The sequence below is a fragment of the Homo sapiens genome, chromosome 7 (genome assembly GCF_000001405.40).
Source record: "Homo sapiens chromosome 7, GRCh38.p14 Primary Assembly".
In the NCBI taxonomy this organism is placed as follows: Eukaryota; Metazoa; Chordata; class Mammalia; order Primates; family Hominidae; genus Homo; species Homo sapiens.
The window spans coordinates 55079902-55095531 of NC_000007.14; the positions used below are offsets into that span (position 1 = coordinate 55079902).

General features: G+C 43.8%; 1 protein-coding gene across 9 annotated transcripts in view; it reads left to right on the plus strand.

The window, feature by feature from the left end:
- EGFR (epidermal growth factor receptor) overlaps window positions 1-15630 on the plus strand; it is a 192612-nt gene that overhangs the window by 60885 nt on the left and 116097 nt on the right. The window contains exon 1 of one of the 9 annotated variants that reach the window (XM_047419953.1): window positions 568-1642. The exons of the other annotated variants lie outside the window; for them this stretch is intronic. The gene's annotated coding sequence lies outside the window, so the exon portion shown is untranslated. Of the gene's footprint in view, window positions 1-567; window positions 1643-15630 lie in introns of those variants that run through there. 9 annotated transcript variants of the gene reach the window in all.

The following is a 15630-nucleotide window of genomic DNA, read 5'->3' on the forward strand; positions in this document are numbered from 1 at the left end:
CTTTGAAAGATCTGTGGTTTGCAAATATTTACTCTCAGTCCATAACTTATCTTTCCAACCTCTTACCAGGCTCTTTTGCTGAATAAAAGTTTTAAATTTTGAAGTCTAATATATTTTTAATTTTTTTATTTTATGGATCATACTTTTTGTGTCAGGTTTGAGAAGTCTGCACCAAAGTATGTCCTGTGGTTTTCCCTTAGGTCATCTTCAACAAGTTTCATAGTATTTTGTTTAGATGTAAATCTGTGGCCCATTTTGAGTTAGTTTTTGCACAAGAGTTGAGGTCAAGGTTCTTTTTTTGCCTGTGATGTTCAGTGGCTCTGGCACCATTTGTTGAAAACATGATAGCCAATGTCAAGACTTAATAGTTATAATAATCAGGAGCTTTTGTTTCTTTTTGTTTTGTTTTTAGTAACTGCCAGTCACTGCTTGTGGTATACATACACAATGGAATACTATTCAGTCTTAAAAAAAAAAAAAGAAGGAAATCCTGTCATTTGCATACCTGGAGGACATTATGTTAAGTGAAATAAGCCAGGCACCAAAAGAAAAACATTGCATGATCTCACTCCTTCATGGAATCTAAAAAATTGTATTCAGAGAAGCAGAGAGTGGAATGGTGGTTACCAGGGGCTGGGAAGGTGTGAGCTTGGGGAGATTTGGTGAAAGGACATAGAATCTCAGTTAGACAGGAGGAATAAGTTAAAGAGATCTATTGCACATCATGGTAACTGTAGTTAGTGACAATGTATTGTATACATGAAAATTGCTAAGAGAGTAGATTTTAAGTGTTCTCACCACACCAAAAAAAGGTATGTGCAGTAATACAGTCATTAATTAGCTTGATGTAGCCATTCCACAATGGATACATATATCAAAACATCATGTTGTATACCATAAATATATACTGTCTCTTTATGTAAATTTAAAAATAAGATAAAATAAATGTTATTCACTTGTCGTGGATGTGGTGGGGACAGGTGTGGGATAGCCCTCCCTGTACAACTAGGACCCAGGGGTGATCTAGTGACACTAGCCATTTATCAGGACGTATGGGTGCCAGTCAGGATGATAAAGCTTCCTTTTGGCCACTATACTACTTAGAAATGCCCTGCAAAAGGTGCACATCAAAGATTGAAAGCTCAATCCTGGATTTTAAGTGCTTCAAAAGTGCACTTAATTGCCACATTTTTGTCAAACATTTTCCCAGGTAGTATTTTTCCTCATGTAAAACAACAGCAATTTAATTTGAACAGAAAGCATTTTGAAACATACTTTTGGCAGGGTTCCTTGCAGATCAGAATGGAAATGATTAACAGGGCAATTATCAATCATGGACTTTTGGCGGCAGAAGGAACTGTATTGTTTGGTACAGTCTGGGCCAGGGCCACACACCGTAACGGAGATACTCTATTCTGTGGACGGTTGGAGGGGGCTGTGCTGAGCAGGGTAACTGCATCTTTTCCTAGACTGTTCACACTGCTGCCACGAAGGAGTCTTGTTTAGACTGGACCTGGCTTTCTTCTTCGCAATGAGTGTTGCAGACTCCCGACAAAGGCCAGGTGGTAAAGTGTGGTGTCTGTGAGCGAGAGCCTGAGATGCCTGAGCTGACCTGTCCTCAGCCACCTGCCATCGTGCAGAGGTGAGAGCAGCCCCTGAATTCTGCCCCTCGGTCTCTCCATAGCTAAAGCAAAACCATCCTTCCGTGCTCCCAGGACAAGCAGGCTATTACCAAATCACCCACTAACCCTGGGCGAGGAGGGGCCATCACTGCACAATTCATCAGTGTCTGTGACAGGAAGAGATTGTTTTAGACTGGTTTTTTTTTTTTTATTTGCAAGCTTTTTTCTCTCTCCAAAACGTGCTGTCAGTGTGTTCTAATTTACTCTGTAAGGAATTCTGGAGCTAATCATAGGCTCACAAAAAGCAGCACAGGAAAGTTTCCCAGATAACATCTATTTCAGTGGCTTTCAAACATTTTTGACCTTACCAAAGTAAGAAATACATTTTAATATCATGGCACACATACAGCTGTATCTAAACTTTCATAATACTGCCTTTACGATATCACTCTGATATTGTCTATTCTTTTCTGTTTATTTTTCTTTTTGTTCCTTGTTATGCTGGTTGTGACCCACTCCAGTGATTTCACAATGCAGGCTGGGTGGTGTCCCACAGTTTGAAATCCCAATCTAGGGCCTTCCTCTCACTGTACAAAGTAGGTAACTGGGGACATTAGTGGATCAGTGATCAAACCAAAGTTATTTGATCTTACCAAGTGATATCAGGATGAGAAAGCTGTTAGAGTGTCAGATATGTGAAGGAACTTGGGTCATTCCTGATACCTCAAAGAGAAAAAAGGTAGTCCTTGAACACCTCCTACTTGTAAAGGATGCACAATCCTACATGCCCCTCCCTTTCCTTTCCTCCCCTCTGTACCCCACCCCTGCCCACATTTTCTTCATAAGCAGCTTTGGTGTTTTGGCTTGTTTGTTTCCCTTGTCTCCTACCTGTGACTTTATAGCCTTTTGGAGACTCACAGCAATAGTTGTATTTAAACTCAGTGGGTGGCATCCAAGGCTAAAAAGGAGATTGCCTAGACACAAAACCACCCAAGGGAGAAAGCAGGACAGCATCTTACTATGATTGTTTCTTGTTTCTTCCTGTCTCATAAGGATTATTACCCAGGGTTTTCATTTTTTTCATTTCATGGTTCATTTTCGCTCCAGTGTAGACATACAATAGACCACTCGTCCCTGTGGCTCCGGGCAGCAGCCTCATCTGAGACCCTCCTGAGACATCTCGTGCAGGGCAGCCGTAGTGTGTGGCTTCCCCAGGGCTGCTCTAACAGATCACCATCCTTGCCATGGCTTAAGAAGCTGCAGATTTATTTGCTTACAGCTCTGGAAGCCAGAAGTCCAAAATCAAGGTGTCAGTAGAGTCTCTCTCTCTGAAACCTGCTGAGGATGATGCCCCTGGCCTCTCCCCAGCCTCTGGTGTTCCCAGCAGCCCTTGGCATTCCTTGCCTTGTAGATGCAAAACTCCGATCTCCACCTCTATCCTCACAGTGAGTTCTCCTGCATGTCTGTCTCTGTGCCTTCACATTCCTCTCTGTGTGTCTGTGTTTCCATCTCCTTATGAGGACACCCATCACTGAATCAGGGCCCACTCTATACCAGTAAGACCTCATTTCAACTCCATTACATCTTCAAAAACCCCATTCTCAAATAAGGTTACTTCACAAGTGCTGGAGGTTAGGACTTGAACATACCTTATTGAACAATCCAACTGATGACACATAGTAATTTATGCACTCGTTCTTGGAGACGTTGACTTTATTTAGTAGCATTAACCATGGCAATGTCACCAGCATCGCTGACAGCCTGAAGCATATGATCTCCAGAATGTATTTCAATCATCATGTTCACTTCCTTGGTATTCTTTAGACAATAACTCAGCCTTGAACTCCAGTAAAGGGTTTCCCTGGGATTTTCTTCTTGACTCACTCCACTGTGGCCTCCCTCATCCAGGACTGTAACAGACGCCTGACGTCAGTGGTCTAGACCTCTCTGCTGAATGTCATCTTTGGTGAATGTCTTATGAGAAAACACATGGTTGGTCACTCTTAGAAGGGCATGAAAGCCTGTCTGCAGTATAACCAAAACAGGCACATGGCGAGGCACACTGTGCGCATGTGTGTACAATTAATATCATGGTTTTAAATTATTTTCAGGCCAAGGGGAGATCTTTGCTGCATCTACTGAAGAAAGCGAATCTTTTTCTTCCTGAAAAAAAATGGCTACTTATTAGTCGAATTTGTGTTTTAAAAATATGTGAACTAATATAATGCAGACATGCATTAATGTTTAAATATACTGGAAGTTTTTGGTAAAATGAAACCCATTGTCTCTGTTGATTACTTTGATGAGTCAAGAAGTAACATCCTGGGAATGATTGGCCAGTTTAAATGAGTGCCTCAGGTTTTTGGAATACAAGAAATCAAGAGGAAGGGATTAGAACATATAGGTTAGCAAGATTGGGATCCTAAAATACAGACCCAAATGAATGGAACAAAATCAGGGAATTTATTAATAACAGGGTCAAGGCCAAATCAGTAACAAATATCCTGAGTGGAAGAAAGGTGGTTTAACAAATGCCCCTATGAAAGATAGAGATTGGCTTACCATGATGAGATGTAAGCCCAAGTTATGAGGTTGGCACACAAAACCACAAATGTCATAGCTTAAAACAACACACACTTCTTATCTCTGTTTCTGTGGGTCAGGGTCTGGGTTCTCAGGGACTCACAAAGTATGTTTTCATCTGGAGCTCCAGGTCCTCTTCCAGGCTCATAAGGGTTCTTGGCAGAATTCAGTTTCTTGAGGCTGTAGGACTGAGGTCCTGGCTCCTAGAGGCCACCCTCTCCATAAGCAGTTCTTAGCATGGCCGCCTGCTTCTCCAGGCCCAGTGGGAAAGCATGTGCCTCCAGGAGGGCTCAGTCCATTCTTCATGGCTTTTACCTGGTTAAGTCAGGCCCACTCAGGATAACTTCATTTTGTATTAAATCAAAACCAGCTGATTTGGGATGTTAATTACATCTGCACAACTTCAACTTTGCCATATAACCTAACCATGGGACTGATATTTATCATGCATTTGGGTCAAGTTGCATTAAGAGATATAATAAAGCTGGACAAGCTTCTGTTGATTAGAAGAGTTCAGTTACAAGGCTACACTTGGGAGGAATGTTTACAAACTGGAATGGTCAGAGGATGGGGAAGACACTTGAGAAAAGTCAAGTGACGGATGAAGGCAAATGTGGATATTTATCTGGGAGAAAACTAAGAGGAGTTATAATAGCTGTCTTCAAATATTTAAAGGGCTTTTATTAGGAAGAGGAATTTGGCATATTGGATTTTGCCTTCAGAGAAGTGGAGTCCTGAGATGCTCTTAGCCATTCATTCCAGCCTCCAGGGCTCACCTGCTGTCTTCTGTCCAGGTTCTCGGTAGCAGGGCAGTACAGCCCCATCCGTGATCTTCCATAGTCAGGCATATTGTCACACTCAGTGAGCGGAGAGTCAACCGGGAGGAAGGCACAGTTTCTCTGGAATGACCTACGGAATGGTACGCTCAAATGCAAATTCTCCTTCCCTTCCCCAGTCCTTGTCCTTCAGATGGTAATTTAGGAGCTGAAGGTCAGGGCACCAGCAGCCTTTGGAAGCCTACAGGACAACAGTCAGCCTGGCTAGAAAAAAAAACAATGTCACAGGCATGTTGTGTTTAATCACATGAAGGATATTTGCATTGTTTTCCAACTGATGCCAGCAGACACATTGTCAGTGGTATCATGCCTGGGGTATCAGAGTTGACATTGGGTTGCCCCTTCTCTGAGGCATTCATGTAAATCCTTTTAAGTTTATAAAACCTCCATGTGGCTCCTGCATGCTTCATCATTTGCATGTGTCTCTTTTTCCAGGGGAGGCAGCATGGGGAGCAGGATGCTGGTGGGCTCCAGGTGCAGAGAGCAGGGTGGGCGTCAGACCCCAGGTCCACTGTGCACGCCCTCTTGTAGAGCCCGTTCCGTTGTCCATGAGATGAGGAGTGTTCTTATCTCTAAAGTATTATCATGAAAACCTAACAATGTAGAAAGACTAAAGCACATGGGTGGTGCTTCATAAATAGTATTTCTCCCACTTTCTGAAAACTCCTGCTGAAGTAACTGCACAAGAATCCTTGAACATTTAGAATTCTGGTTTTAGCCATACCATAAAGTCAGTAGTGCGTGGTGGAATTCTGCTAACGAAAATTGCGAAGGATCAAGGCAGAGTACAGAGCTGGTGTGTAGCGGGTACCTTCTGTCTGCTGGCACTAGGTATTTTACACATTAAATCAGCTCGTTCTCACATCAGCTCTTTTAAAAATAAGGAAATGAGGAGCCACAGTGGCCCAACTGATGCAGTGGCAGAAGTAGAATTTGAGCTTGTGCAGATGTGCCTCCGTGTTTTGTCTCCTGAGCATGCTGCCCCAAGTTTGACAATACCAAGATTTGTACTGGAACATTCCCTCCCATCCCCACCCCCTAGAAGCCCCTCTTCCTCCCTTAGATTTGACACATAGTTTGAAACCACTATTAACTACCTTATGAGAGCCACTGTTTGTGAAGTGCTGACTATGTGCCAGGTCCCGTGCCGTGCAATTTTTGTGAATTATCTCGTGTCTACAGTGCCTCACAATTTCTCTGCTCAATACCTCCATGTTACTGCCGAGGAAAGGGAAGCTCAGAGAGAGTAAGTAATTTGCTCGAGTTAAAGAGCTGGCCAGGACAGCCAGGGGCTTGCACCCCGGAGCCTTCATCCACTACACTGTCAGCTGGTATCTCAACCAGCCATTACAGGCTGTAAAAAAATTATATAAGATAGTCTATGGTAATGCAGAAAAGTGAGGTTATTTTGCTCCCTTTCCCTTTGAAGAAAAAAGCCCTGGAAAGACATATCACTTGAGTATGGGAAAAAATGAAGCTGTGGCTTTTCTGTGAGTCAATTCTTTCCTGGCAGCTTCTTGGAATAAGACCAAGTATAGCAGCAGAGTTTTCTGTTTTAATTTGAGCTGCAGGGTGACTTTTTTTCTTCTATGCTTTCATCTCTCTGTGGCTTCTTTTGCCTCGTTAATTTCATGCCCTGCCCAGGCGGGCTACTGTGCTGCCCAGTCACCCGGGTCTGGGGCGGCCACCGCTGGCCAGCAGGCAGGCCCTCCAGAGGCAGAGGTGGCCACGCTTAGGTCGCTCCCGCTGTGGAGGCGGCACACTTGGGTGGCAGCACAGCTGTGATGTGGCGGCAGCTGGCAGCCCCATGGGAAAGATGTGTGAAGTGTGGGGTTTGACGACCCATGGGAGAACAGACTTTCTTCCTCTTCTTGTTTTCCCTTCAAAGCCGTGAGTCAACCTCAAATTCTCTGTCTTTTTTCTCCACCCCCTCGTGCCTCTCTCCCTCACGCTCTGCATCTCTCATTGCAAGCTTGCATTTTTTTGCACACAACACTATCTTAATATTTCTCTTTTCTGCAGGCAGGAAATGAGAAGTCATTTTTCAGGGTCATTCAGGAAGTCATCCAGAGTTATAATGGCCCATTATCTACTGGTCAGAGTTTACTTAGGCTTTCACTACTTCCACTGCCCACTTGAAACAGGGAAAAATATTTTCCCCCCGCGCTGTGAGTGTGCTATTTAGAGCTGACCACAAGCGGGGGGAAGAGAGGATGGCTCGGATGCTGCATTTCCACTGAGAACACAAGGCTGGCAAAGCTTGTCTGCTGCCCAGCAAGCACTTCAGGCTCACACCATTTTAGGTTCACTTTAAGTAGTTTCTCAATTGTTAAAAAAAAAACAAAAAAAAAAAAACCTGTACTCTGAGGATATGCTTATAATCCCATAGCTAACCCAGAATTTCTTAGAGAACTGATCAACATCAGCAGTGGCACTTACTGAAAATGCACATTCTCAGGCCCTGCGTAGGGCCTACTGAGTTAGAATATTAGAGAGCAGGTCTCAGAAACATTCTATCCGGCAGTCTTATTCTATGCACCCGAAGGGATAAGAGCCATGCTTTCATGAAACATGGGTTGTGTGTAAAATGTTTAAAAGGTATGGCAAAATGTGTTTGATTGGCACCAAGGATTTCTGGTTCCTCCTAGAATCATTAATCAAACTTTGAAGGAGAAATAAGAGAGTCGGCATTTTCTTGCACATTCTTTGTGATGTTGTGATGAGTTGGAAACTTCCCGATTGGGTTTATTAGAGCATGAACACCCAGGCACCCAGCTTCTAGCCAGCCCTGTCAGGCAGAGTCTCCTCGAAGATGTGGAAAGGACTGACCAACAGCTGAGGCCTACAGGAACCTGAGCAGGCAAGGGGAGAGGCACCCCGGAACCAGGAGCAATGGCCTTCCCACCCTCCCTCGTCCTCTCCTCTTCTCCTTTTGGAGTTGCAGGCCACAGAAAGGAAGTGACATGAGTCACTTTGGGCCTTCTTAATTCCTTCATCAAAGGCAGCACAGGTGTGTATGTGTGTTGGTGGCTAATTGAGGTAGGCCCACAGAGGAGATAACAGATGGACATACTATTTCCTTTCTTCCATTCTGATATAATTCAGGGTATAAACACACACACACACACACACACACATTCTCACTTCTTTGGCATCTACCACACCTGCCCCAGTGCCCATTTCTCTCCCACCTGAATAAAAAGCCCCCACAAAGCCTGAGGTACATGGAAAGGAGCAGTGGTCTGGCTCCCAGGAGTGTGAGAAGCAGCCATGTTTTCAGAGGCTGTATTCCACTTGGACTTGGCCCTACGCTGAAGGTAGGAGCGGATGGGGGAGGCCCCCTTCGCACAAAGAGCCCCATGAAAGAGTGCACAGTCCAGTCTATAAAACAGACGCAGAAAATGTGTGTAGGACTTCTTCCTGAAAAAGAGCGTGGTGCGTCCAGTACCTCCATGTTCATGGAACTTCCCAGTCTGCAGTTTACCCTTTTGTGCAACTCCCTTTTGGTAAAGCCCTGGTCACACTTCTGGTTGTTCAGATTATACAGGGATAATTCCAGAGTGATTTTAAAGTCAACTGCCAGGCATCCGCACTTGCAAATTAGATGCCTGGCACATGCTTGTGTTAAGGTAATAATTCATTACAATACAAATTACAGGGGAGTTCCTCTGGGCATGCGACCTTTCCCGTCATTTGGCTTTCCCTGTGATTATCAGGGGAGCTTCCATCGTGCTGCTAATGGGACCTTAACCATGTGTCAACCCATGGCTGTAATGCTGACACTGTTTTCTTTCTGGAATGAAAGGCCTTCGCAATTGAAACCAAAATGTTATCCAACTCAGTCCTGTCCCTTTGACGATGAAAACATCAAGTTCTGGAGACTGGCCATCCAGCCTCCCTGCCTCATCTCCCACGCCCTCCATCATTTTTTGTCTCTACTTACTTATTTATTTGGCTGTATTTTACGTACATCATGCAAAAATATTCCTCTTTGTAAAAAGTATAATGATTTCAGGAAATTAGAGGGTAAAAAGCAAGAACCATGCTTTCACTCCACTGTCAAGAGTTGTGGAAGAATCCTTCCAGCATTTTTTCTGTGTATTTTACATACATACAAATATATGTACAAATAAAGGTCGATCATTTAGGTTTTGTTTATATTTTTGTATATATGAGCTTATGTCATTCATACATATTGTTTTGCCTCTTGCTTTTTTTTAACTTAATTTTACTTTGCTTGAGAGCTTTTTGAACTGAAGTACGTGTAAGTCAGCCTATGCATGTAATGGCTCCCTCATCTTCTGTGAGGCTGTCACTAAAAAGGGGATTTAGCTTGTTCTGGGCTTTGCAGCCCGTACACTGGGCACTGTTCATACGTACTTCTCTGTGCACGCAAAGGAGGGCTTGCTAGGGAGGCCTGGCAGAGGGTGCCATTCAAATAGGATTTTCAATGGAGGAATTTTTAAATTTTCAGTTATTTGAATAAGTTTTAATATATATCCAGAACCCCAAATCATCAAGTTTGTTTTCTTCCACATCTGTCCTTCCATTTCTGAACTATTTTAAGGCCAGTCATGTCTCATCCAAGAAATCCCATCCTTTCACACAACACTATCTCCGTTTCATGGTTATGAATCTCTAAAAGCATGATTTTTAAAACATAATCACAATGCTGTCATCGAACTTAAAAATTAGCCATAAATCTCTTATGTTACCCAACAACCAGCCTACTGACACATCTCCAGTTGTCTCAAAAATGTGTTTTCCATTGTGGTTTGTCTGAAACATGATCCAAAAGTCAGACCCACCTCTCACCTTTCCCTAACCTGCCGGAGCCCATGTTTCTTTCCAGCCAGGCTTGGAGACCACCACACGGGATTTGCTTCTTGGGGCCTCCCTCTAACCAGCTATGCAGGATGCCCTCTTTCCTGTCAATACAAGCTGCTCAAAGGACTCATTCAGTTCAAATTCACCTATGTGAGCCTAGGTGATGCTACTTATTTATTTATTTATTTATTTATTTATTTATTTATTTATTTATTTTGAGATGGAGTCTCACTCTGTTGCCCAGGCTGGAGTTCAGTGGCATAATCTGGGCTCACTGCAAGCTCTGCCTCCCGGGTTCAAGTGATTCTCCTGCCTCAGCCTCCTCAGTAGCTGAGATTACAGGCACGTGCCACCACGCCCAGCTAATTTTTATAGTTTTAGTAGAGACAGGGTTTCACCATGTTGGTCAGGTTGGTCTCAAACTCCTGACCTCGTGATCCACCCACCTCGGCTTCCCAAAGTGCTTCATGTTTTCAGGAGCTGTACGTGCATTTTTAGTTTTGATGACCAGGTCCTTTTTCTGTTTTTTAAAGAACTTCAAATGATCTCCAGGGTACACAGCGCTTGTGTGCTGATGAAAAAGCTGGCAGTACAAAGGCCACCAGCCAAGGTCACACAGCCAAAAAGCCCCTGACCTCGGGCCCCTTCCCAGACCCTGGGTCTTTTGCTGCCACATGAATCTTCTTCAAGGTCCTATGTGTAGATTTTCTTGACTTGGCCATATTATTTAGGATTCAGATATAATAACAAAATAGATGTTAAAGCATAACATGAAGGCATTTAAAAGGGTAGAAAGCACATGATTTACTAAAACCATAAATCTTATGACCTGAAAGTTTCACCTAATCTCTTAAAAAATACCGTACTAAACCCTGATTGAAAATCAGAGCTCAGACATACAGCCTGAGATGCCAAAAAATGGCCAGGCTTGTCTGTTGAGAAAGCCATATGTAACTAACTGTTTGGAAATTCAAAATATATCTTATCATTTTAAAAACATCTTTCTTCTAAAGACAATCATCTTGGCTTCAGGAATGAGGCTAGTAAAAAGTGAAATACTCCTACTTGTGGAAGAAATCCTCATTTTAACCATGAAGAACTGAAAAATGCATTCTGATGTTGATGGACCCAACCTATATTTGGGTATTTTATGATGTACACAATATACTTTTGTATATGAGATTGTTATTAAATGTGACTTTGCTTTTTCAAGACATACAATGTTCCTCCGGGGGTCAGGCACTGTGTTTAGCACTTTGTCCTGACCTCATCTGACTTCTCAGCTGTCCCTGAGAGGTACCAGTGTGCAAGATCGCTGAGTTGGCAAGTGATAGTGACAATATTTTCACCCCAATTTCTAATTTAAAGACCCCGATTTCTAGTTTTGTTTTGTATTGGATTTGCACAATTTCACGTTCTGAAAGAGGATGCCCTCAACTTTGCAAAATGGGCCTTTTGAATGAAAAGGATCAGTCATGTCAGGAAAAGCGCTACAATGATGAAATATGATAAATAAGTCAGTCTTTCATCTGTAATTATCTACTATGGGGTAAAAAGTGATGAAAACTACCATCTTGAAAGGTTCTGGTGATAGTGGTTCCTAATGCAGTGAAAGATGTGTAAGTCAAAGATTTGTAACCAGCCAGGGAATGAGAGGCGAAGCCATAGCTGGTGGCGGGGGCCACATCTGGGTGTGGGGAGGCCACAGTTGGGTTGGGGGTGGGGCCTGCAGTTATCCACACCCCTCCCACCTCCCTTCGACAGTACAGGCTTCCTGGTTACCTTCCAGAGAGTAAGGCCAGGGAGAGTTGAATAAGTTGAGAAATGTCATGTCGAAGCTATTGGTGGAAAGAGTTCCATTAATTGACAATACAAGTCCCTACTACATTCTAAAATCTGGTCCTGACTAGTGGCAAGCCGGGCCCAGGAGTAGCACTTAAACAATGGCAGGCTTGTGTTGCTGGCAGGATACTTCAGCCTCAGAGGAGCTGTGTGCAGCTGGGGAGACTCACACTCAGAGGATTTCAAAGCAGAGGGCATCTCGTAGAGCAACTTATCCAAACCCTGACCCACTGTAAACACACACACACACACACACACACACACACACACACACACACACCCTGAGAGAGAGAAAGAGAGAGAGATAACTAAAGAGAGAGAACTAAAGTTTGGCAAAATAATACATGCTCTAATGAAGGTTTATTAATGATTAATCTACTCCTAGCATTTCCTAGTCCACTCTATCTCCTTAAAAAAAAATTCTGGTTGCAGCCCACTAACTTGATTGTACAGCTGCTTAATGGATAGCAGGCTGTAATTTTCAGAGAACTGTTTAATGCGGGCTACCTCTGTTCTTCCATGCTGCTTGTGGTTCCTGCTCTGCTCAGGACAGAATGGGGAGGAAAACAGGCTCTGCGGCACAATATTGGCAAGTGAAATTTTGTAAACCGGCCCTCCCTTCCTTTTGCATTTGGTCTGAAAATTCAATTAGATGCTGAGTCCTACAATGTATTTGAGAAGCCCAGGAGTGCCCTAGAGGATGAGACTGGGTGGCTCCCTGTCAGGTTGAACATTTGCCTTAATTACTTTGGCAAGATTTGCATCAGTGGTATTAGTCCCTGCCTCACTTGGAGGCCTGCACTTAAGTGGCCACATTCAGGCTCCAATTTCCTGGTGATTTCATAGTGTAGGGCACTTGCAATCAAAACTAGGCTTAAAGCCCAACCCTCTTACATTTTACCCACCCCCACAAATGCAGCAAATAAAATGACTCTGATTTTCATTCCCTAGACCTCTTTTCTATATTTATTACATTATTGTTAAGACAGTTTTTGAAGAAAGCTGTTTTATTTAACAAAATAGCTTTATGGAATCAACTTCATATATCTTCTCCGCCAGATCAAAACAAGCTCGTAGTATTAGATGTCACCGAGCACCATGACAGGCAGATGAACATCATCCCTGTGCCCGGCTAATGATAGCTCGGCCTGCCCCGGCGTCAGCCGCTCCTGGCAGGGCCAGCGGGCGGTGTGGGACCGGCACCGTATCTCCAGCAATTCGCAGATAACAAATATGGTTCTGATGATGTTACTAAAGATCTGTCCCTTTCAAGATTGGATTAGACATTAGGAATTTGGAGGGCTTTTTATTGCTAGCATTTTTAAGAATAACCAATTAGAGTATTGATTCTAAAGTCTGAAAGCCACATGGACAGAGTTCATGTAATTGGCTACTTTATGTGCCTCTTCCTAGATTGCCCTGCATTTTCAAAACAAGAGCCTTTCTATTTTAATCAAAAGAATCCAGAATGAAATGAGGCTTTGAAAACTCAGCCTATGTTTGTCTTGATTTCCTTAACTGACATCTAGAAGAAAATATGAGCTCAGGGGTCCGCTGGGTTCCTTCCAGCGCCTAAGCCTGTAAGCTCTTCCTGCTGGAACCAAGCTTTAAATGCACTTGTCAGTCATGTCCCATGAGAATAGATACTGCCTTCCATGTTTTTTTGTTCTGATTTCCGTGTTTGAAATGATGAAAATCATTTTTCTGTGCTTTTTAAAAATGGAATTGCTTTTGTGTTGGGAATTGTGCTGTTCATTTTTACTCTACCTCGTTTTGGAATCACTAATGTGGCCAATTTATAGCCAAAAATCAGTATCGTAGAGTGAGCAATGAATGGCATGGTGACTGTGTGAGCGAATTCATGCCCTCCCTCCCCACCGCTCGCCCCGCGTCTCAGTCCTCAGTGATGGTAAACAGAATGAGGACCTTCTCCCGACCGTGATGCGCCTCAGCCCTACTTCCCTTGTCCTTTCCTATCATAAAATCTTCTTTCATAGAAATGGTCATTTCTGTTCATATCTGTGGACTGTAAATAACAAGGAAGTCATTTTTGAGGTGAAAACTGCACTTAGACTCATTCCAATTTTGATGGAAACTTTTAGCTGGTGGATGGCATTTTGTTTTGTCTTAGTTTTGCAAGGAGTTATCTTAATTTAGGGAGATGAAACTAGTCTGTGATCCGAGGTCTCACTTCCATACATTTCTCTCGGGCAGTGTGGCTGCCTGAATCATGCCTGGATGCCACAGGTGCTTAGCCAGCTGGTCCTGTCGTAACTGTCACTGGTAGCTCAGGGAGTGCAGAGGTGCCAGCAGACACTATGAAATTGGCCTCGTAAAGCATCAGTTATGTTGTGATGGTGGCAAAGCTGCAGGCGAGATGGGAAGTGCAGCCACTGAGAACTCACAGTAGAGCGTGTGTAACGTAAAAAGATGAAACCCATTGTACACAGCTGTGTACTGCCTCCTTGAAGTCAAATTTCCCCCATTACCAAGGAAAAGTTTTTTCTGAAGGGGGCTGCTTGACAGGATGACATCTGGTGATATCATTTATTCCTTTGGAAATCAATCTGTGGAAGTGAGTTTCCACTGACTGATGAGGAGAAAAATGAATTGGCTTCACCCAGCATCCAGCTTCTTATCCTGGGAGAGATAGCTCTTGGTCTGTCATCCACGCAGCTGCCTGGTGCAAGAGCCAAGTTTGTGCAGCCTGCAGAGCACTCTTCCTGAGCTGTGGGCTGCCAGGTCGGGGGGCAGGGGGGGCCTCACTGTGCAGCCTCCTGCCACCCACTGATCATCTGGGGAGACTGGCCTATCCTGTCAGGAGACGCAGTTGCCCAGACGTTTTCAAGGGCCTAAGATGTAGGCAGTTGATCCACAGATTTTTGGAGAGTCCTTGAGTTGGAGATTACAGGTGACCTCAGAGGAGGGAGTGAGAACATCTGGGTCATGGGTTTCTACTAGGAGTCCACAGTGAAAACAAGAAGAGGAATTTACGACAAGACAGTCCAGCAACTTCCTTTCTAACTTCTCCTTTCACATATGCTGGATACTCCAAGACTTTGCATTTACATGGACATCACAGATCCACTTTGAGAGAAGTAGGGTAAAAAGAAATAAATACATAGTGCTTTAGGTGTATTTCTATACATCTTAATTGATATGGGATTACATTTTCACTTGTGTTTACTGTACAGACTCTAGACAGATCCTGCTCTTTTGCAGGTAAAACAAATATTTCTTAAAACCTAGAAAGACCCAAAACAATTTAACAGAAACATTTTGGACCATTTTGGACCTTGGCAGTTAGGCCCCAGTGCAGCAGCGGCAACCATAAACCTCTCCATAGGTGCTGAACCCAGGTGATCCCTGGCACCGGCAGCCTTATGTCAGGGCTCTCTTATCGCTGGTTTTTATTTCTCCTAATAAAAGTGATTAAAAGATTCATCTTTTAAAGAAAGCAAGGACACAGAGGTGGATTCTCCCTGACGCTAGCACAGCTCATGCCCAAGCCACTCCTGCAGGGCTCTGGTCTAAGTGCAAAAGCTGGAAAAGCTGCAGGTCCCGCAAGACACAGAGCAACCCTGCAAGCCAGGTCACCTTCCCTCTTCTCTGCTGTCCGACTGGCCCTCCACCATGTGACATTCAAAAGCTCAAGTTACTTAACCTCTCAAAACTCAGCATCCTTTTCTGTACAGTGGGGAAGATACTGGACTGTTGTGAGGATTAAGTGAGGAGAGTGGCCCAATGAGGTTGACAGTTATTACTGTCATTGTCATTATTTGCCTTCTCACAGGCAGGCGTGCCACAGTCATTTTACTGAAGCTGCTTCAGTGGGTCCTGAATTAGGCCCTGTCCTTTGGGAGAGACAGTCCTGGTTCAACACACAGCTCCCTGCCCAGGGCAGCTTGGGAGTGTGGGCC